This window comes from Homo sapiens, chromosome 4 (genome assembly GCF_000001405.40).
Source record: "Homo sapiens chromosome 4, GRCh38.p14 Primary Assembly".
In the NCBI taxonomy this organism is placed as follows: domain Eukaryota; kingdom Metazoa; phylum Chordata; class Mammalia; order Primates; family Hominidae; genus Homo; species Homo sapiens.
The window spans coordinates 120,704,608-120,728,853 of NC_000004.12; the positions used below are offsets into that span (position 1 = coordinate 120,704,608).

The 24,246-nt window shown below is 37.8% G+C and overlaps 1 protein-coding gene across 18 annotated transcripts in view, besides 1 other annotated feature; it reads right to left on the bottom strand.

Annotated features, from left to right (window-relative positions):
- The window catches only part of PRDM5 (PR/SET domain 5), a 238,436-nt gene that overhangs the window by 20,317 nt on the left and 193,873 nt on the right, over window positions 1-24,246 (bottom strand). For 15 of the 18 annotated variants that reach the window (XM_047449558.1, XM_047449557.1, XM_011531566.4 and 12 more), the window contains one exon: window positions 5,702-5,806. The exons of the other annotated variants lie outside the window; for them this stretch is intronic. In XM_047449558.1, the coding sequence (XP_047305514.1) occupies window positions 5,702-5,806 (105 nt within the window). The remainder of the gene's footprint in view (window positions 1-5,701; window positions 5,807-24,246) is intronic. 18 annotated transcript variants of the gene reach the window in all.
- Window positions 15,817-15,866: an enhancer, noted in NCBI's record as "active region_21861". NCBI's record gives its function as "activates an Ori minimal core promoter by ATAC-STARR-seq in GM12878 lymphoblastoid cells {active_cell/tissue: GM12878}" and the evidence as "EXISTENCE:reporter gene assay evidence [ECO:0000049][PMID:35858748]".

A 24,246-nucleotide genomic window follows, 5' to 3' on the forward strand; every position in this document is an offset into this window, starting at 1 on the left:
GCTAGGAACAAAATGACAAAGAACACACTGTCTAGCCCTTGTGGAGTCCACGTTCTAAGTGGAAACATTTGTAAAGTCACAAGCATAGTACAAAGAGAGGAACAGAGGAGCGTGCAGTCCATGGCTTGGAGAGAAGAAGGCAGGCTTTAAGGGAAAATTGGCAGAAGGCCTGGATCTGGAAGGATGCATCGCGGTTTATCATGTCCTAAGCGGGGGAATGATATGACAGGGAGGGGGAAGAAGATAGTTACAGGTACTGTGAGCGTGAAGAACATGGCTCAGCTGGGGAAGTGAAAAGAATTCACAAAAGCTAAAGATTAGATGTCACTAGAGAAATAAATTGAAAATAATTTAGAGTTGAAAGCTGGAAACAAATCCTGGAAATCATGGTAATCATTTCAAGAAAGTGGACGTATGTTTTGTAAGTGGTGGGAATTCACTAAAGGATTCTAAATAGAGACTGAAACTAAAGTATAATTCAGTTAGCAAGCAAGAGAGTATGAAACTGGAGCCAAGGAGGCCAGTACTATTGTTCCACTCCAGACCAGAAATGATTTAAACATGAACAAAAGCAGTAGTTATCAATTAATTTCTTTATCCATTCAAAATATTGAATGCTTCCCACATGCCAGGCACTGTTCTAGGCTTGAGGATCCAACAATAAATGATAAAGACAAAACCTTGTGTCATTGAGCTTATAATAAATGATAAATAATTAAACAAATTTTTGGTGGATATAAGTGCCATGAAGACAAATAATATAGAATGAGAGCTAAGGAAGTAATGGAGATAAGAGAGAAAGTAATTTGAGCTGAGATCTGAAAGAAGCACATGAGCAGGCCATGAAGGAACCGGAAGAAAAGTGTTCTAGGCAGAGGCAACAGCAGATGCAAAGGCCAAGATGTAGATTCAGGGTAGGTTCAATGTGTCCAAAAAAGACTAAAGAGGCCATGTGACCAGAGTGAGGTGGAGGGTGCTGATGGAGTCAAAGAGAGCAGAGTGGGAGGGTGAGGGCTGCAGGTCACCTGAGGTCTTTCAGACCATGATAAAACTGGTTTTCACTCTAAATGAGATGCACAGTCATGGGAAGGTTTGAGCAAATGAATACTATATTCATTTTACAAATATATAATCTGACTCAGGTTCTACAAAGATTACTCTGCATGAGACTGTTGGGAGCAAAGACAGAAGGAGAGAGAGCAGTTAAAAAGATATTGCAATATTCCAGGAGACTGAGATAAAGCTGTGGAGTTATGAGAAACGTTCAGACTCTGAACTTATTTTAACGTAGAACCAATTGGATATGCTACTGGATTAGATGTAGGGTGTGAGAGAATTAGAGAAATAAAGGTGACAATGAGAATTTAGAGATGGTGGTATGTTTGAAAAACAGGTAGATGCAAAGGCAGGAATTACAGGGTGTGAGTGAAAGCTGCATGGTAAACTGCTCAGAAAGATCTGGGTTTTGATCCTAGATCTTTTTTTTTTTTTTTTTCTTTTTGGAGACAAAGTCTTGCTCCCTCGCCCAAGATGGCGTGCAGTGGCACGATCTTGGCTCACTGAAACCTTAAACTCTAGAATCTTGACTGCTGTGAACTGCAGGCAAGTCACTCAACCTCAGTGAACCTCGACTTCTTCATATATATGCAAATAACACCTATATATTCCTGAGTTTTAGTGGAGATCAGAGAGAATATATGCAAACCATGGATCTCTGTGTATTTCCCATATGAGGACCTTAACTAGAATAATGGCTATCATTCATGACTTAGGGGAAAAGAGGTGTCCAACATGAGGCTCAGATATGTGATTTGGGTTATTTGGGGATGGTACAGTCCTCAGAGATATGGGAAATCAAAAGGATCATGTTGAGAGATTAAGAAATCTGGGAGATCATGATTTCAGTTTGGAGTACAAGAGAGATGTCCTATAGGCAGTTGAAAATATCTGCCTAGGGTTCAAAAGAGAGACCTGGGCAGGAGAAAGAAAGATTTCAAAGTTATTGCTATAGGCATGCTGGGCCATTTGCACAGCCTCGAATGACTGTGCCTAAGAGGTTAAAGTAGTATTGATGAGTAACGTGTCATTTGGGCAAAACTGGTTTTATATATATATATATAAATTATATATATATGTCCATTATATAAATTTTATATATATATATATATATGCCCATTTTATCATGGTTACCCAATTTGCCAACAAACTGGTAACCATGATTAAATGAACAAACTTCTAGAAACACACAGCAATTACCAAAACTGACCCATGAAGAAATAGAAAAATTAAAAAGACCAATAAAGAGGTTGAATCAAATAAAAAGCATACCAACAAGGAAAAGTCCAGGATCAGGTGGCTTCACTGATAAATGCTACCAAACATTTAAAGAAGAATTAATACCAATTCTGTACGTCTTTCAAAAAGACAGAAGAGGAGGAAACATTCCCCAACTCATTCTGTAAGGCTAGCATTAACTTAATAATAAAGTCAGACAAATATGTTATGAAAAAAGAAAACTACAGACCAAAATCTCTTATAAATTCAGATGCAAAAATCCTAAAACAAACAAACAAGCAAGCAAAATACTAACTGAATCTCAGAGCATATTAAAAGGGTTCTAAATCATGACCAATGGAGATTTATCTCAGGACTGCAACAGTGGTTCGAATAGGAAAATCAAACAAAGTAATACATCATACGAACAGAACAAAGGGAAAAAAAAAACATAGTCATCTCAATTGATGCAGAAAAGGTATCTGAAAAACTCCAACATCCTCTCTTGATTAAAAAAATCCCTCAGAAAGCTAGGTAAAAAGGGAGATTTCTCAACAAAATAAAGGGCATTTATGAAAAACCCACTATATTCAATAGTGAAAGACTGAAAAAGAATGCAAAGAATAGACCCTTTCCTTATACCATATATAAGAGCTAAAACTATAAGACTCTTAGAGAAAAAAAACAAAAACAAACAAAAAAAAACAACAGAAGGACAAATCCCATGACCTTGGATTTGGCAATGAATTCTTAGATATAACACCAAAAACATGATCAAATAGAGAAAAAAATGCATAAAGGGCACTTCATCAACATTAAAAGGCCTTATGCATCTCAAGATATTTTCAACAAAGTGAAAAGAAAACCTACAGAATGAAAAAAATATTTGCATGTCATATATCTGATAAGAGCCTAATATCCAATATTTAAAACCTCTTAAAAAGACAATACTATTTCAAAATGGGCAAAGGACTTGAAGAAACATTTCTCCAGAAAAGATGTAGAAATGGTCAGGAAGTATATGGAAAGATGCTCACCATCATTTGTTCTTTGGGGAATGTAAATCAAAACCATGGTCAGATACTTCACACCCACCAAGATGGATAATTAAATAAAAAAAAAGTGTTGGCAAGAATGGGGAGAAATTGGAATCCTTGTGCATTGCTGATGGAAATGTAAAATGGTGTCGCTCCTAAGGAAAACAGTATGTCAGTTCCCGAAAAAGTTAAACAGAATTACCATATGCCTCAGCAATTCAATGCTAGGTATATACCCCAAATAATTGAAAACAGGTACTCAAATACTTGTATGCCCATGTTCACCACAGCACTATTCACAATAGTCATAAGGTAGAAAGAAGTGTCCAACAACAGATGAATGGATAAACAAATTGTGATATAAAAATATAATGGAATATCATTCAGCCATAAAAAGGAATGACCTACTGATACATGAGAAAATGTGGATAAACCTTGAGAACATTATGCTTAATGAAAGAAGCCAGTCACAAAAGGTCACATATTGCATATTTCATTTATATGAAATATCTAGAATAGGTAAGTCTATAGAAGTGAAAGCAGATTGGTAGCTGTTAAGGGATGAGGGGAGTGAGGTGTAAATGTTTATTGGGTATGGAGTTTTATTTTGTGGCAATGAAAATATTTTGGAGTTAGAGAGGTGGTGCTTGTACAACACAGTCAATATACTAAACGTCACTGAACTGCTCACATTAAAATGATCAATTTTATATCATGTGAATTTCACCTCAATTTAAAAAAATGCAGCACCTTGGTAGGGTGACAGGGTAGAGAACACACACACTGGAGACTGCATGTAGATGAAACAGTAAAGGTCTGAGCTATGTGTTACAAGTAGAAATGAAAACTAAGAGGAATTAATGAATCTGAGAGCTCTTTAAGAGGGAGAGAGATTGGAGTGGGGTGGGAAACAGTGACTTCTATCCACAATGAGTAGGTTAAGAGGACAAGATTTTGGAGCAAAGACAGTTCTATACTGAGCAGTCTGCATTTCAGAAATGTTTAGGAGGCACTTAGAAATATGGATCTCTACACAGCAGATTAGTATGGGCTGCAAATGAAGATTTCAGAATTTTAAACACATCATAGAAATAAATGGGACGGAAGCAGATAGAAAAAAGTCAGCTTGTAACATCATAGTTTCAAAAAACATAACATGATGGTTCAATTCACCTAAGGAAATATCCAACAAAAGCATTCAGCATAGATAAAAGGATGAGTTAAATGTCATGGTAGAAAGATGTCCATATGCAGCTAGCATTTAATTTCTGGGCTGTATATCAGCTACTTGTGTCACAGTACAATTAAACCATCTAAATAGGTTTTGCCTTTATGAAAATCCTTCCAATAAAAGCAGCAATGACTTAAACTAATTGAAATCACTGAACTAGGGCTGTAGCTCTGTTCAGTATAGAGCTTTATATGTGTGCATTTCTTCCTCTACAACTGTTTCTTTCCTTAAAAGAAGTGTACTGTTAATAAAGGTATTTTTATGAGTATGCCCACTGGGAGTACATTGTTGTCTTAACCTTACCACTGAAGTTTCATGGAAGGACAAGGAAAACATCTTGTGTTTGTGAGTTTCCTTTCATATGGACTGCTTACCCTATGCTGTATCCATTGGGACATGATGATGGATCTAAGTTCTGGAATTTCCCTCAATATTTAAGCAGAATTCTGCACTGTGCCATATCACACAGCACAGCTTTAATGTTTTTTCTTACATTGATTCCCTAACATCTGTGTCAATTCTCTGTCAACTGCCAATCCCGCACAAAAGAACAGTGGTTTTTTTTCCCCTAAATTGATCAATATTCAGATTAATTTTACTGTCAACAGTAGTATTTTTTTCCTTTCAGAAATAATGTATGCTATGTCAAATAATTCCATTTCAATCCAAATGTCATAAGCAGAAAACCTAGACACTTAGTAACAGCATTATTTAACACAAAGGAGTTTATATGCATTTTGGAATTTTGTACATGCTTGGCTTTAACCAAGTAAATAATATGTATGACCAGTCAAATCTCTGGTTTAACTGTCATTAATCAGTAAAGATTTGGCCAGACACATGAAAGCTGCCTCAAATCATCATGCTTTTACACCTTGGAAGAACAACTCAACGGTATTAAAACAGGGTACAAGCATGTCTAAAAGAAAATCAGAATTTATTTGCTGCCAGTAAACCAGATGAATAAAATGATTACAATGCAGTTACATGTATTATGCAAGAACAAGCTATAAATAGCATAAGACATTAACAGGCATAGGCACATTCCAGCAATGCAACACACACACACAGACACACACACACACACACATACACACACACACACACCCCTACTTTCTGTTATTGGAAGACACTATGGGGGAAAAAAATCCAAACTCACATCACACTGAAAAGGCTTTTCTCCAGTGTGCGTCCTCTTGTGCTCATCCAGGCCTCGCTTCTGGCTGAAGGCCTTGCTGCACTCTGAGCACTTGTACGGCTTCTCCTGCAGTCAACAAAAAGAGACCACCAAAATTGCCAGTGAATGAATGAATGCAGAGTCCTCCATATTCAGGTGTGTGTTATGGGATCCACAGAATACTGCAGCAAATTTACAGGTATGCTGATATGGTTTGGCTGTGCCCCACCCAAATTTCATCTTGAATTGTAGTTCCCATAATCCCCATATGTCATGGGAAGGACCTGATGGGAGGTAATTGAATCATGGGGCTGGTTACCCCCATGCTGTTCTCATGATAGTGAGTGAATTCTCACAAGATCTGATGGTTTTATAAGGGGCTTTTCCCACTTTGCTCCATGCTTCTCTCTCCTGCCGCCATGTGAAGAAGGATGAGTGAGCTTCCCCCTTCCACCATGACTGTAAGTTTCCTGAGCTCTCCCCAGCCATGCAGAACTGTAGTGTCAATTAAACCTCTTTCCTGTATAAATCACCCAGTCTCAGGTATTTCTTCATAGTGGTGTGAGAACAAACTAATACAGGTGCTATGAGCAATTTTATATTTTCAGGAGAAATAGGAATAACCCACATCTGTCAGACACTGAAAATGACTAGCTCAAGGCAGTTCAGTTTCAACATTGGATTGTGCTACATTTCCTCCAATGATGTCCTGTCTTTGCAATGCTGGATGCTGGATGGTTGCTGTGATGTAACTGCTTAACACTTCTAGGTCATTTCTTTTGGTTTATGGGTACCATAAAAATCTACTGAGATACTCAGGGCATCATGAATGAAGAAAGTTTGAGAACCCTTGATCTAGAGGGTACAAATTGTTTACTTTCTAAGAGGAATTCCTAGAAATAAAAACTTTAGAACTAAATTTTCTACAGATTTTGGGGGATAAGTTTAAAAATGAATCAACTGTGATTTATGTATTTCCTTTTTGTTGTTGTGATGGAGTCTCCCTCTGTCACCTAGGCTGGAGTGCAGTGGCACGACCTTGGCTCACTGCAACCTCTGCCTCCCTAGTTCAAGCAATTCTCCTGCCTCAGCCTCCTGAGTAGCTGGTACTACAGGCACCTGCTGCCATACCCAGCTATTTTTTTTTTTTTTTTTGTATTTTTAGTAGAGATGGGGTTTCACCATGTTGACCAGGCTGGTCTCAAACTCCTGACCTCAAATTATCCACCTGCTTTGGCCTCCCAAAGTGCTGAGATTACAGGTGTGAGCCACTGCACCTGTGTTTTCATTTCTATTACCTCATCTTTTTCCAGTAGGATGTTCTTTTATAAAATCTAAATTACATTTTTAAATGAGGCATTTTTATTATAAAAACAATAAAGAAAACTTAAGGCAAAGAAGTACCTCAAAATGAAGAGAAAAAATAATTTAGAATTCCTTAGCCTTCTTTGATACCAGGAACTTAGTCATCTAAGTTTTATCACCATCTTTTTATCACCATCTTTTTAGCCCGGATTAATTGTGAAATAAATTAATTAATATTATTCCATTCCAACAGCTTGCAAGTTACTACTTAGTGCATCATCAAAAAGTTTCGTTCAGATTTAGGTAAATTTGCAGTGAGATCCATTTTTTTAATCAAATATATCTTCAAAAATATTGCTATAAACATTCTTGGGCTGGGCATGGTGGCTCATGCCTGTAATCCTAGCACTTTGGGAGGCCAAGGCGGACGAATTATCTGAGGTCAGCAGTTTGAGACCAGCCTGGCCAACATGGTGAAACCCCGTCTCTACTAAAAATACAAAAGTTAGCTGGGCATGGTGGCGGGCACCTGTAATTCCAGCTACTCGGGAGGCTGAGGCAGGAGAATCGCTTGAACCCAGGAGGCGGAGGTTGCAGTGAGCCAAGATGACTCCAATGCACTCCAGCCTGGGCGACAAGAGCAAAACTCCCTCTCAAAAAGAAAACAAAAACATTTTTGAATTGAGATAGTGTATGCATGTTTCTTGTTAACAAGCTGTATTTATATTTTCTCTCTAGTATCAAAAAATCTATAACTTTTTTTGCAGACCTATAAAAAACAGTATGTAAATAACCAGAGAGACATACATCTGCCCACCAACTAGCCTAAGAAGTCCAACCTTTTCAATACAGGTGCCGCTCTCAATTGCCTCCTCCCCCACCACCTGCAGCACTCTCCCATCTCCTCAGGGATGACAGCTCCCTCAGATATGTTAAGTACCATTCCCTTGCCTTTCTCTACATTGTTACTACCTATGTATGAATGGAACCTTAAGATAGAGTATTATTTTGCCATTTGAAAGTATGTAAATACTATCATTCCGTATCCACTTTTTGTGTGTGTTCTGTTGAGATGTACTTTATCATTGTTCAACATTATCCTCACAAGTTTCTAGTCCTCGCTTTCATTTTTGTGAACATATGTAGCTCATATTTACTAATTTTCAATGTTGGGCATATGACATTAAATAGCTGTATACCACAATTTATTTATATACATTCTCCAGTGATGGATAGCTAAGTTATTCCCAGTTGTTCACTCTTATAAATAATGTTCCTCTGAAAAAATCTTGTACACTTGAATATAGGTGAAAGCAATTCTCTAAGGCATGTGTACCTAGATGTGGGACTGAATCTTCAACTTTTCTATGAATAAACAAATAACTCTGCAAAGTTAATAAACCAAGCTAATAAACCATTTTATACTCCAATATTCACTGTATCCTTGTGATTCTATCACTTTATTTTAGATGTTTTGAGACTTTCATTAGGTATGTAAGTATATACAAATTTTAAACTATTATGCTATTGGAAAATAGAACCTTTTATCATTTTGACATGACCTTTTCTATCTGTAATAATTCTTTTTTACCTTGAAATTAATATGACTGCCATATAGCTATAAAAGCTTTTTAAAATTAGTATTTGCCTGCTATACTCATCTTTTTGCTTTCAAACAGCCTATATCCTTATGCATGGGCAGTGACTTTTATAAACAGCATATGACTAGATTTTTTTAACCCAAGCTTTTTTGTGATCCAAAGATTACTTCTATCTAAGATGGCAAGTTTTGCCTCTTTACAAATTTGTGATTACTGATATACTTGACTATATTTCCAACATTTATTTTGTGCACTACTATTATCCTATTTGTTTTACAAGTTTTTCCCATATATTTTATTACATGTTTTAGATTGATCCTTTCCCCTGGTACTACTTTAAAAGTTATTATCTCTATTTCTTTCCTTTTAATGGTTATCCTTAAAATATTTTACTTTGTATGTTTAAAACTAAAGTTTATCCATATGTTTTATCTCCTACTGAATAATACAGGTACTGTAGAACGATCCTCTTACACTTAGAGCAGTATTTTATTTATATCTTGATTTTTAATGCTTGTCTTAGTCATTTTGAGCTGCCGTAATAAAATACCATACACTGGGTCACTATAAACAACAGACATTTATTTCTCACCATTCTGGAGGTTAGAAGTCTAAGGTCAGGGTGTCAGCCTAGTCAGGTTCACATGAGGGCCCTTTTCTGGGTTGTGAATTCCCTGTCCTCACATGGTGGAAGGAAAGTACTCTGGTCTCTTCAGTTCCTTATAAGCGCACTAATCCCATTCATGACAGCTATACCCTCATGACCCTATCAGCTCCCAAAGGTCCCACTCTCTAATACCATCACACTGATGGTTAGGATTTCACATAAGAATTTGGGGAGAATGCAAATATTCAGTCCATTGCAATGCCTAATATGAAATCATTATCATTTTATATAATCAACGTGATTTAGCTTTACACATGATTAACAATTTCTTTACTTTTCAGGCTTTTTTATGTATCTGATTTTCCAAGGATCTGTTGGTGGCAAATTGTTTTTGACTGAATATGACTACTTTTCTCATTTGTTGTTGAATGAAAGTCTACAAATCCAATGAGATATATAATAGACTAATTTTACTCTTCATATTTCTTAATATCTCTTTAACATTTCCATCTCTTTCTGTTGTACTCTAATTTCTTAAAGTCAATTGATTTTAAAAATCAGTTGATCAATTCTCTTTTCAGCTTGCTGTTTAATGGGACCCTAGGGCTTTTAATTTCTGTTATCATATTTTTAACCTTTAGAAGTTTTATTTGCTTATTTCCCAATTCCATTTTTGATACAATCTCATTTTTCTCATAAGCAACGCATGTTGTTTATGCCTATTTGAAAATATTCTAGGCATTTATATAATTTACTTTATCTGATAAAGCATTATCTTAAGATGTCTGGAAGTCTAGTTCTCTTTTTTGTGGTTTCTCCTGTCTCCTGCTCGTGGCTTTTGTTTCCTTGGGTGTCTGGGATTTGAAATAGTGAGGACACGTTTGGTGGTCTTTATCTGTTAAAATCCTGTGACCCCTAGGTTGAGGGTAAGTCCCTCCAGACAGCATTTGTGTTTGCTGCTGCCAGGCACTCTGGGATGCTATCAATCAAAGACTGTTTTAAGTTGATTTATTGCCTTAGGGTTTTCTGGTGAGGCAGATATTGTAAGTCTGAACTCCACACTTGAGGGAAGGATTGCGGTTATAAACTCTAAGAAGAAAGCTTTCCCTAGCCAGCAATTACTCCAAAACAGTTAAATGTCTCAAGTACCAACCTTTACCAAAGGCAGATTATGTCTAGTCCCCAATTTTATTTTGAGCATAGCATTTCTAGAGTCCAAGAATAAAAGTGGTATGGGATTCCATCTTGCCCTATAATCTGAACATACAGTTTGTCTCATTTTCCCTGACACCATGAAAAATCAAGTCTTGAGATTACCCTACAGGTGCTGCATCCTCAACTTGAACTTATCACTCACTTTCAGCTCCATTTTTGTTCATTGAATCCTGAGGGCTATCATTACTTTTTTTACAAGTTCAGATGTTTTCTGTTTGCTTTGTTTTATCCAGCATTAATAAGTGCTCCTTATAGGGCCTTTTTTCCGGGATATGGAGTATCTACCATGTTGCCAGAAATGAAAGTAACTATGTGTGTAATTTTAAAGATGTAAAAAAATATGTTTAATGAGTCTTCCCCAGTCATCAGGAAAAATGTTCAATTTTCTTTGCAGTCCAAAAAATATAATGTGCTTTCCCCTCTAGTCTGAATAAACATAATGTCTTTTCACAACTTCAAATATTTCTTCAAATATTCCACAGTTTTTCAAAAACTTGAAAATGAAAAGGTAGTTTTAAGTATTTGGATCAGAATTTGTTTGAAGTTGCTGGGATTTCTTATTAAGGCTTGTATTATATCCAAATATTCTACTTAAACTTTTATTTTAAAAAAACATACAAAGACATTATTATGAAGTATATGAGAAGAAACAAAAAGCTTAATCCCTACACTTTACTTGTAAGACCAGAAGTTGTGAAGACATGATGGGCATGGCACCATGGCAGCTGCCAATGACAGGTGAGGGTTTTGCAGAGAACATCCTAAGACAGAACTGTCAAAATGCCACCCTAAGAGCAAGAAGAGGTATCAGGGAAGAAAAGGCAATGAAAATCAAGACCTGGGCACCAAAGATTAAGAACAACCCTTTTACTCCTTCCCAAATTTCCTCTTAGGAGACACTATCTGGGTGAGTATCCTAGACATTGCTCATACAGATGCTTAAAAGACTGACTCCCTGCTAGTATACTGAGATTCTGGTGAGGCATGAGGGCTTTGCAGTTATCACAAGAGGTTTAAAAATGCAAACACGTATTAATCATTGCTTTAGCTGAATAATGTCTTATATACTTACACACACACATTATCCACTCACATACTGATATTTTTCACATGTTTATACATGCTATTGCTGATTAATTTAATATACTTCACTTACAAATGTCGTTGAAATTATATTACCTTTCCTTATTTTCTCCTTCACAATATACTACAAGTACAACAACCATGTATTTATATATGCATGTTGGCAGAAAAGTAAAGGATAAAATGTGTAGTGTTAGAAAGGTTCTTCCAATTAAAGAAGTTTGAAGAGAAATCCATTTGATTAAGTAGTTTTCAATCTGCCTGGACTCCCTCTTCTCTACCTAGAACCATTTAAAGCCAGGGAGTCTTTGGGGTTTTGCCCTAAGAGAAGCACATGAAGGCCCCACGAGCATACTTCTATGTTAGTCTGGCAAGAAAGGCTCTCTGTCATAACTAAGTATATCAACAGGCAGCTGTGTTTGTCCTTCAAATGCCTCTCTTCTTCATCCCAGATCTTACACAGAGCCTGCACTATTCCTGAAGATATCACAAGAAGATATATAATTCATGGCAGATACTAGTCAGACTGTCTATAGTGCTCCTTGAAGGAACTTCTAATGCCTACCATGGAAAAGGATTCCAATTTATAGTGAATGTCATCAAAGCAAGTCTTAGAGAATTCTTGCTCTAGTAAATGGCTCTTATACTAGAGGCAGAGCCAAGAGGTCATAGGCCACTCACCTCTAAAGTTAAGAGAACCAAATAAACCAAAATAGAAGAAAATAAACGCATTTTCTTTCTCAGAGAGTAAACCCTCACATAGACCCTCCCTTACTAATTTCTTTTCATTACCCCTAATAAGCCATGCCAAAGAAATACCAATCAGAACATGGTCAACACAGTTAGAAGAACAGGCTGAGTGGTACAGGGGATAAGATTGGAGAGGCACTGACTTCTGTTCCTGCTCCTTTCTTTGAACATTGTGAAAAAAAAAAAAAAAAACTTCATTGCCTCTAGAGCCTTCCTGAGTGGAATATGTAGTATAAATTATACACTTTAACTCATTAGCTGAATTTCAGTAGAGAAAGAATGATTAGGTTCTTGATTAATTCTGTTTCTGAATGATTACATAGTTTAACTGACAAATAGCTTGTCCTTTGTCATCACAACTTGGGAATCATTACTAAATGGAGGCAATGTATTTGTCAGTTAAACTGTGTAATCTATTAGAGGCAGAATTAATCAGGAGTCTCATCAGTCTAGCTTTAATCAAACAATACTTGGCAGATTTCATTCAAAAGGTAGGATTTACACAGCTCTATGTGCTGCACCTTGTAATCTAGGTAATAAAAAGTCGTATTTTGTGTAGTTAATGCCCACCTATATAAAAGAACAGTATCTTCAAATGTTACATTTTTTTGATAAGATAAACTGAATTAATAAATCTCAACATCATCTGAGAGGGTTCTACAGAAACAAAGTTAAATTTTAGATATACTTTGGAGGACTCTGAACATGAAGTCTTTAGAAATAGAAATTGATTAGAAGCTTTCTTTTAGTTGAGCTAAGAATTCCTGACTAAAAGATTAGAGGTATGACCCCATCAGACAGGCTACCAAGGATAAGGATGGGTCAACCTCGGATCCCTGGATGGATCCATCCCAGAATGGATCACAGGTGGATGATCCACATACAGTAGGTACATAATCCAAAGATTTCCTGTGGTTGCTGTCTATGGTTTACATTAGACCACAATCAAATAAAATGGAAAATAAAATCAGTGAGCTCTTTCTCTTATAGTCAGAGGCCAAGGTAAAGGTGTCACAAAATCATAGAATGATGCTTAATAGTTCTCTTTCATGACCGTGATAGCTGACTCTACTGAAATTGAGAAAGGGAAACTTGTAGGCAATGAAAGAAAACAGGAAGACTAGTGAGCATGGCGAGGACTGTCAGAGCCTGTGGTCTTCTGAACATATATAATCATGAGTTTGCTTAGGAGAAGGTTCAACTTGCGAGTGAAACACTAGCTCCTCTGTGGTTATATCTTCTGTGAATGCACTAGGGATACACCTTTTCTCTATTTGTCTTGCTCAAAGCTGTAATAAAGCCACAGTGTATGCACTTAATGAAATAATTTCCATGTGACCAACCTGGATTTCATATAAAATTTAGAGAAGCTTATCAAAGAGGAATCAGATGTGGAAGACAGTCTTTGTCTCTCTCTCACACACACAGAAAGACATTTTAGGACTTAAAGGGTACGCATACCTTTTGTTCCAAATTAATTTTGTTTGGCTACTTTTTCTAGATTAGATTATTTTATAGCCATTAATGTTTACTCTATTAAAACTCACAAAAATGACATATTTCATCAGATAATTATTTCCTATTTCTAAATTTAAAAGAAAATCTAAAAAATTCATAAGGGACTCTCACTAAGGAGAGACCTTGAGAACACCACATCATCAATTTACACTTAGACCTTTCTGCAAAAGTGGAACATTTTAATGCCTTTAATTGTATATCATTGATTTTAGAGAAGTTTGCCTTAACAAAAATGTTAAAAACAAAGGTTCAGCTGAAAGCAAAATAGTGTTTTATTTAAAAAAATCCATGAGGCACAGATTTGGTGTGAATTTCTTAAATATGAAATTTCTACATAAACTAAATTTTATAAATTCCTAGTTTCCCATCTTCTCAGCTGCTACCATAGTGGCTGATCTGTCAGACACATTACAAACTGTGGCATAGATGACACTGACTTGTAAACAAAAAAGGCTTGTGTTATATTTTTAAAAGATGTGGGGCAGGTTCACTTAACCCTCAAACTTTCTCTTCTGCAAAATGTCTCACTAATTTCCACTGTGGAATATGGAGCCTCAACTGTGAGGAAGATTACAGACAGTCAGTTGTTGACTTACTTTCTAGCCTGTACTAAGAAACTATTTGCCAAACTTTCCTTAGACAAGGCACAGAGTACTTAAACTCCCCACTCTGGTCCAGAGCAAGGTTTCTGGATCTCAGCAAAAGGGCCAGATAATTCTTTGGTGTGAGGACTGTCCTGTGCACCCACTAGATGTCAGTAGTACACCCTTCCCCACTCCATCTTCCACCCAGTTGTGACAACCCAAAATATCTCCCGACATTGCCAAACGTCCCCTGGGGGGCAAACCACAGAAACACTATAGACAGTGCTTCTCAAACTATCTGTAATTAAAGACTTTTTCCCAGTCTGTTGCAGAGTGATGCTTTTATAAAATATATTAAAAACGAATTACTAGAAAAATTATCATGTACTTGAATGTCACAGCAATGCCAAAATGCTGTAAGAGTTCTAAACACTTCTTCACGGTTTCTTTATTTATCATAGACCAGAAATAAAGAGTTTGTGGGCTGCCACTGGTCTGCGAGCCACACTTTTGAAAAGCACTGGTCTAGAATGAAAATATCTTTGATCTTAGGATGCCCATAATTCAATTTTATCATAATCTAGATGAACAAATTCTACAATAGACCTTATATAAAGATGTCTACGTCATAATTACACTTACACCTTGAATTAGATATAATTTTAATTTTACATATAAAAATTCAAGTTTTATGGCTAGGGTAGTGAGGAAGTTATAAATGGAAAAAAAAATTAATACTTGTTGAACTGGGCTGGGGCTACTTGGGGATTCATTATCCTATTCTCTGCTTCTGTAGATTTCACATTTTTCTCCTAAAAAGTTAAATTTGTTTTTCTAAAAGCTGCTTTCATGCTATTCTAAAACTTAAAAATATCGCCATTATCCTTCTGCATCAGGGGTTTTGTCTTTCTCTATCTAGGGGAACTATTTTTGATATCAGGAAGATGGATCATGTAAACATTGAACCATCTCAGAAGTCAGAAACTGTCTTGTATGCCTGCTTTGAGACAACCCAGCGCTCCAGGGACTGGCCTCACTGTGAGCCACAAAAACGCAGACTGGTGAGCAGTAGATTCCCAAAACCTGGCCCTTCTCTCCCCAACCCCAGCATAGCCAAGCTGTTCACATGTGTCTGGAGTAAAGGGCTTCTTGTACTCTTATATGATAGGGTATGTGTATAACTGGGCCAACATCTGTACTTCATATGGCAATCCCACAACAGATCCTCCAAGAATAAAAGAGAGCTACAGACAGGGGCCTGTGGTGGTCCTGACCACTGATCAGAGGTCAGACTGATGTGTGCTCCTCACCATGGCAGAGGCTGTGAAACCCATGCTGTGATTTTCGGAGTCCTCCACTTTTCTAGGAGTCAGGTAAGATTAGTAATCTTCGTTTAGCATGATGGGCTTTGAGACCAAAAGATGACTACTTGCTTCTATAAACCAAATTCGCAACAGAATCGTGGGTGAAATTTAGAGGAGGGTTTGCAAGTGTGGCCCCATGGGTTTCTATTACACACAGCTGAGGGAACAGAGCTACAGCCCACAGTACGGCATGCCATATATCTAACAGTTCCTCTTAATGGGCCCCTTTCTGAAAGTGCATGTGCCACCAGCTGCATACAATCAAAATGCATTGAGTTTCCCTCTAACAAGCAGCCTTGCTTAGAAAACTTCTTTTACAGATGTTTATAGCTTTTGTGGCTTTTTATTCACCGTCTTATTTTTATAGCCAGTGTGATCTTTCAACATATGACAAAACATACCCATGGCCTAGTAAACAATGCATCTAAAAATTATAACTCTTAGGAAGCTAGGAGAATATTTAAAGCAGGTTTCTATATAACACATCCATAATTGGTTTTGCATTGTAGCTAATGAAAAACACACTTCTATAAATTAGGAAAATGAATTGCACAAGCAACACATAGAACACTAAAAACAAGCACAGTGAATAGGATACAATTTTTATATTAAAGTGTTGCATACAGTCTTTAAATAGAAACAAGGAGGCACCTGGTCCCTTTTAATTAATCCACTCTGAGGCCCACAGAATAGTGTGTATAAATGAAATGGCTGGGCAGCCAGAAAGTCCTGTCACTTGCATAGAGGTGTTAAAAGAGCTTATCTGGCATAAAGCATGCAAAGAATCATCCAAACCAGCTCAAAAGCCTTGTTTTCCTGGGGCTGCAGGGTGACTCAAACTAGTCCATTTGGAATCGTGAGACAAAACTGATGAAACTAAACTTTTCCCTAATATTCTCCTAATTTCTAGTCCAGTGGACTTCAACCCTGCCTGCACATTTAAACCACCTAGGGATCTTTTTAAAAACATTGATGCCTAGGGCCCACCCTCACCCTGATTTAACTAGTTTGGGTAGGGACAGGCACTAGCTTTTTAAAAGCTCCCAAGGTGCCTCTAATGCGCAACCAGAAGTGAGAACTTCTGATCTAGTTCACCATCCTCTACCATAAGCATTGTAATGATAATAACAATGACAAAAACAGCATCAGTAAGAACTCCTACTCTTTCTACTACTACTATTATACTCTACCACCCCGACACTGCTGCCTATGTTCACAAACTGCCTACTTTCTGCTGGCTGGCAAAGTGCTAAGAAATTTAGAGACTGTTTTCCCATTAAGTTGTTAAGCAATGCTGCAAATTTGCTATGGTTATTCTCACTTTACAATGAAGAAACATTTGTTTAAAAACGTGATCAAGGTTATTGTAAGGCAATGGCTGTGCTTTGGTAAAGGATAGGTCGAGGTAAACATCCAGAGTGACTCAGCGAGTCTACAGCGCAGGTGTAGAACTCCACTTGTTATCACAGCCATGTAGCCGTAACATGGGAAGGCCATCACTTGGCTCTAAGCCACTATTATCTGTAAAAGGTATAATTGCCCTGTTGACAGGCTCAGCTCAACATGGCTTGACATGGTGGGCACGCGGGTGCCCAGAGAAAGAGAGAGACAGAGTTGTCCGTCTTTGCAGAGGGACAGAGGGGAGCCAGGACACGTTCGGCTTGCTTGTGGCCAAAGAGAGAAAGAGTTAAGCCACTGCCCCTGAAGGCAAGGGAGAGCCGGCTACGCAGATGTGTATGGGGGCTGCCGGACTAAGCAGCCAAGACAGGGTGGACAGTGTGAGAAAGCTGTTGATGAGAGCTGCTGCTGAATAAAATCATCTTTCACCTGCCTACGATCCCCCGAGTGTTCTTTCTGCTCATCCACCCACTCCCTCGAACCTCAGCACGGATCAGAACCTGACCCTGGGCGTGACATTTAGCGTAGTCATGACCCTGACAGTTACACAATCAGAGAGAGCAGAACAAAAAATAAGGCACTTGTAATCCCAGGCCTGTGTCTTGGGTGACTCTGCTTCCTACCTGAGCCTCTTCCCTAGTCTATATCACTGCTAGCAGAACCCTGATTCTATTTGGGTGTTGCCTTCTGCTTGGTTAAGCACCCTGGAGGAGGACCCTTCCCAGCCCAGCCAAAAGAGTGACCCTTGATCAGGCTAAGCCTTGGCTCCACACTTCCTACACATTGTTATCACCCGAAGAGCTTCAAAAAATGCTGATGCCTACCCCCAGAGATTGTGATTTCATGGTCTGAGGTATGGCCTGGGCTTTGGCAGTTTTGAAATATTCCCTGGTGATTCTGATTTGCAGACGCATTTGGGGACTGATGGGCTAAACCAATGACAGCAATTCCACTTCCCGTGCAGTGATGGGTTTAGCTTAGAGCATGCGACCTGGCTGCGATTACTGAGAAGAGAAGGTAAGTCTATGGGAGATTCTGGAAAAGGCCTCTTCTGCCTGTTGATACAGACCACATAAGGAGAGGCTGCTGGAGCTGCTGCAGCCATGTGCTGAGCACGCGAGGAGCTGGCTGAGGACAGCAGGAGACATGAGAAAAGCTGGGGCCACTAACGACCCTGTTGAGCTATTAACCAACCATGGATGGCCCTTCCTCTGAAATTCTTGTCATGTGACTTAATATAAATCCTCATCTTTTAAGGCCCTTTCAGTTGGGCTTTTGGTTAGTTTGGGATAAAAATCATCCTACTGCCTACATCTTCCCAATCATTACACCATATTCTAATGGCCCTATCCTAGTGACACAGAATACTTCCAGCTTACATTGAAGCATAGCACTGACAATGAACGAAAAATTCAAAGTCAGTGACTGGCTATTAAAAATGAAAATACACAACACAGTCTAAGAATCCTGACTCTAAAAATGGGAATGAGTTCTTTTACACAGCAACATTTTTCTTACACACATAACAAGAGTTACAAAGGAAGCCGAAAAAAATCTGCTGATAAGAATTCTGAGAACAACGTACTTGTGCATTGTAAAGAATGTCCTTTGTAATCCTTGAAAGAAAAGGAATGCTGGTTAAGTGAAAGAGTGTTATTATTTAAAGTATCTAATGGGAAATTACTTCTTTCCCTGCATAATGACTAAGTGTTTAGATTTTATTTTAATCTTACAAAAGAAGAATAATCATATGAAAAGGAAAATTTTGTTACAAGAAAAAAGTTATGCTCACCATCTTAAAAAATTATGATGCAAACTTCGAAAAATCAATGCAAATTGTAAAGAAAATATAAGGAAGTACAAATGAAAGAGAAAGAAATATAAGGGAAGTAAATATGATAAAAAATATAGAAGATATACAGAAAATATAAAAACATATATATACACACACTTATGCCGACTGATATATATAGTGTCCAAGGCAAAAATGTTGAGTTTCAAATAACATTCAGAATGGAAGTCAACTAAGAGAATAATAAATTGTCAGAGTTGGGAGAGCAGGTTTCTGATGTAACTGTCTTTTTCTCTTGTCATGTATCATCCTCGTTGTTTTATCTTAAAAAATTGCTAATGAAAATCAAAGTAAGTCTTACAAATTTAAGATAGCTTGAATTTTTTTTTTTTTTTTTTTTTTTTTTTTGCATGTTGCTGGGAGTTTCCTTTACCAATGGAACATTCCTGACAAGTGTATAGTCTCAGACCCAGTAATCCATCACCAAAGGTAAATTTAGGAAGAAAAATATTAAATACTTCCTCTAAAAAGGTCTTTTCCTATATTTGAACCAGTACTGTAAGCTTACATACCAATTAATTTAAGTGTTCCAAGCTCTATTTACAAAGGATCTGACAGCAATCAAGATAATTCCCATGATTAGATGATGTCATTGAGAGTAATTTCATCAGCAAAAGTCTCCATGCGGTATTAGGCAAGACACTGTGTTAGAAACCAAGGGAAACACAAAAAGGTTTAAAATGGGGTCCTTATCCTCAAGAAGAGTACAATGGATTAGTAAAGAAAATCCTGGCGGGTGGAGTAGATCAAGTTGAGGTGCACTTGTCCATCACCTTCAGCTTTTGTTACTACACAATTTGAAGTATGGTATGCAGCAAATACAAAGTATCCTTGTCGATTTAGGCAGATAATATAGGAGTACAGAGAATGAAGTGAAATGAGAATTCAACATAGTCACAGACTCTTACATTTAAGAAGCAGATCCAGCCAGTCCACATAGAACTGAACTAATTCAATTTGGTCACTTCCAAAAATAACAAGCATGCTTTCTGACATATGTGATGGTGGCAAGTGTAATCCATCTTTGAATAAAACCATAAAGTTTATTCAGAGGTGTGCAGGAGAAAGGAATTATGTACATGTAAAGCCTTAGAAAAGGGATATCTAATTCTAAAAAAAACATACTTATCCCATTACACAATTTTGAAAATAATAAGAACACAGCAGAAAGGTGCTATCACACATGCAGCTAATTCACCCATGACTAACAGAGCATTCATTTCAGCCAAGTTTATGTCAACAGGTGAAACAAAACCATCAAGGAGCGGGCAGAAGTCAGAGGAAATCATATCAATATAAATTACATCTCTGAGTCAACACCGCACAGATGCAAGGAGGTAGTAGCATAAACCTGCCCCAGTCAAACTTAAAAATGCTGAAAAAACAGCTTATTTGCACAGGTGAGGATTCTATAGTTGTCCTGGCAGAGATCTTGCTAGATTTTAGTTTGCTCAAAAGTCATAAAATATTCTGACAAAAAGTCATTCAGCCTAAAAGATTAAAACAAAGAAAAAGATGACAACAGTATTACTGTAATAAACGAGAAATGTTTATTCTAAACTTGAACACCATTAACATTTTAAAATTCCAAAGGTAACTGCAGAAGTTTTTTTTTTTTACTTAGAAAATTAGCATCTTTACTATTTACACTTTTCATCTGATATACAGTTGTTTTTTTTTTTTCTGTAAGCAAATTTGAGTTCAATCTTCTTTCACAAATGGGTGTTTGTGAAAACTTTTGTAATATCTGATGATGCTACACAGACTTCATCAGGCAGATATATACTTCACACCTCTGCAAAACACCACTCCTACCTCCAAAATAAAATGACCCTACTGTCATCAGTAGTAACCAGAAACAGATCACATTTCACTTTTTTTCCTAATAGGCCTTGGTGACTTTTTACCTACTAGCTTTTGGCTGTTTTCAGTTCAGTGTGTTCCTTGAGAAAGAACACCCATTAACTTATTTCAAAAACCATGGAAAGAGTGATGAACCATCCCTTTTTGCCCAGGACTAGCCTGGTTTTAGCCCTGAAAATCCTACACCCTGGGTAACCCCTCCATTTGGTGCAAACCAGAAAGCTCATGTTAAGAACAAGAAAATGCCAACTCCGTTTCTATATTAAACAGCATCATCTGAATTCAGGAATCACAGCTCATTGTAATGGTCCATTTAGATACTATCTAGGAGACACACTGTATGTGTCAGCCTGTAAATCCACCCAGCTGTCACAGGGCAACGTACTAGATAAGAAGAATTCTGCTAACACAATCTCCCCTTCTTCCTATGCCCTGATCTCTCATCTCGTATCTAAATAGTCACAGTCTAGCATCCCACTGGCAGAACAAGCTTAGTTACCAAGGAAAAGTACTGTCAAGACCTCTAGCTAGCCCTTTCCCATCACACACTGCCCCACTGCGAAGAGTGGCTGCTCACCCGAGTGGGCACAAGGTAGAGTGCTACAGGGGCAGGGATGGAGGGTTGGGCTAGGGAGGGAGAAGGGCAGTGCTTTGGACTGAAGTGCCAAGTTTTGCCTCAGGCCAAACAAAATGCTTTCTCCCTCAAGAGGATGATATTTTGTTATTTTAAGAAAAAATATTTTTACAGAGAGAGCTACTTATAAGCTGTCTAGGTTACTAAGAAATCATCCAACCCATTCTCAGAATATATTAGGTAAAACAAGGCTGAATTGAGGTAATTTCCTTGTTTTAATTATATCCAAAGACATAGAGAGCCTCATGGACTCACGGATCTCAGTGCTGAATCATTCCTTTGCATGCTTAGATGATTTTGTTTTGCTGTAATTCTTTACATTGGTTATTTGGTTTAGACACACTGGTGCCTTCAGAGAATGTTAACCTGTAAGAAAAGAACTGCCAGCACAATCTCCCAGTACTTTGTTCTCTCTCCTTTTACAATTGCAGTTGCAGTTGTTTTTCTACTAATAGCCAGGTATCCTCTATGTCAAGTCAACATAAATAACACACCCAGAAGAAGATTCGATTAACATAATTCTTATTTTGTACATAAAGAAACTAAGCCTGAATGCTCAGAGAGAATTCAGTGAGTACACATTTCTCTCCCCTCAAAGAATGTCCACAAACAATCTCCAAAGGGCCTCTCTCCAGGCAGGGATGAAAGAAGATACACTGGGCACTTGAAGACACAAATGGGGGTGGGATGGAGAGTGATAGAAGCCTCTGGGGCTTTGAGCCTAGTATTGCAAGAAAAGGAACAGACACTTAGCATGCAGCAGCCACAGCATTGGCAATGGCTCCTAATGGGACAGATGTGGAAAACTCAACTCATGCTCTGCCAGTGGGGAGTAGAAACATAATTCAGTATTTAAAAAAATTTAAAATTCAGCCATTGAGTCATATATTTCTTGGTGATAAACTGTCCCGCATGTTAAAGACTATATTCTAGGTGGAATGTCATTTTTTTGGCAATGACATGGGAGACTGCTTACATGTCTGAAAACACATGTTAATTTTAGTCCCTTCACTCTGTTGCCTCTACAAAGCCAAATATATGTAATAGATCCAAAGCAGTCAGGCACACCACATTCCAGTAAAATGTTCATTTTAACTTACACTGGCACAGTGAACATTTGACTGGAGTACATTCATTCACCGAATAGAAGGAGTAGCTGAAAGAGCAACCTACAGCAGCATCCAAGAAAGATGTATGTATATATGTGTGTGTGTGTGTGTGTATGAAATGAAACATATAGATATGATTCATAAGGTAATGAAAAAGGTTTGACTTAAATGGAATTCAGTGTAATGCAGATTGACACTAGTCCTGGGAAAGCCTCTAGAACTGCCCCACTGATGTGCTGAGTTTTTGGATTACGATCCAGTCTGTGTCTGGCATGAAAACTCCAGAATATTTGAGACTTGGGTCAAGTCCAGTGCTGCAAGACTGGATCACCAGGCACTCAGTGGGCCTCAAGAGTGGTACTAAAGCTTAACAAGCATCTCCAAATGTCTACCACTTTTTGCTGAAGCAGAAAAGTATTTTGCATTTTGAAAGTACCAGTGAAGGGCCAGGCACGGTGGCTCACGCATGTAATCCCAACACTTTGGGCGGCTGAGGCGGGTGGATCACTTGAGTTCAGGAGTTCGAGACTAGCCTGGCCAACACGGTGAAACCCCGACTGTACTAAAAATACAAAAAAATTAGCTGGACAGTGGCTCACGTCTGTAATCCCAGCTACTTAGGAGGCTGAGGCAGGGGAATCGCTTGAACCCGGGAGGTGGAGGTTGCAGTGAGCCAAGATCACGCCACTGCACTCCAACCTGGGTGACAGAGTGAGACTCCATCTCAGTAAGAAAAAAAAAAAAAAGAGAGAGAGAGAAAGTACCAGTGAAGAACATCAGATCACTGTCAGTTTTCTGTCATGATCACAGCTGGTCCTTAGATGAGTGGTTTATATCACTCACAGCTTAGCCTGGCCCAACTGCTGACCCCGGGGTGAAAGGCTTCCGGTCTCATTGCCAGTCCCCAGACCCTCTTGCCCTTTCCTCCTGCTTCAGGTTTTCTAGACAACAAATCTCAGATCAGTTGTCTACCCTATTCATCTGTTAGAATCTAGTATCAAGGCCACAAGCAATCAGCACCATCATAATCACTGTAAATCAGAGATTTATAAAAGACAGGAAAAACCTTAATAATCCATCTGTCTGATATGTCATTACAGTATAAATAAATAGCATTTGGTGATGAAAATGTATTTGGGAAATTGTTCCCACTTCTGTTTCCTATTATTTCCATTTATAATCTTGAACACATAATGACATAGGAAACTAAATGATGTATGTATGTGTGTGTGTATATATACATATATATATTTTTTTCTGATTTGATTCCAGACAATTATTATTTCAGAGAACATTTACACTTAAGAATATACAATATTCATAAAAAGACTCGTCAATTTTTTCTTTAGGTGAATGTTTGCTTTCATTTTGCAAGGATATGACATCATGGAACCTGGTGTACTAATTTGTTTTGTACCAATTATTACCCTCCACTTTCCCACCAAGCAACATCTACCCCGCCCCCTGCCCCTTACATACGTCGCCTAGTGTTGCGTTAGAAGCATGGTATTGGCCTTTTAATATTCATATTTTAAAATGCTCTAGAAAAGAACTGAGGTTACAAGAAAGGGTAACATCCACACTACAGAGCTTCCATAATGGAGAGGTACACCAAATAGAAAATACACACAAGAAATATGATTT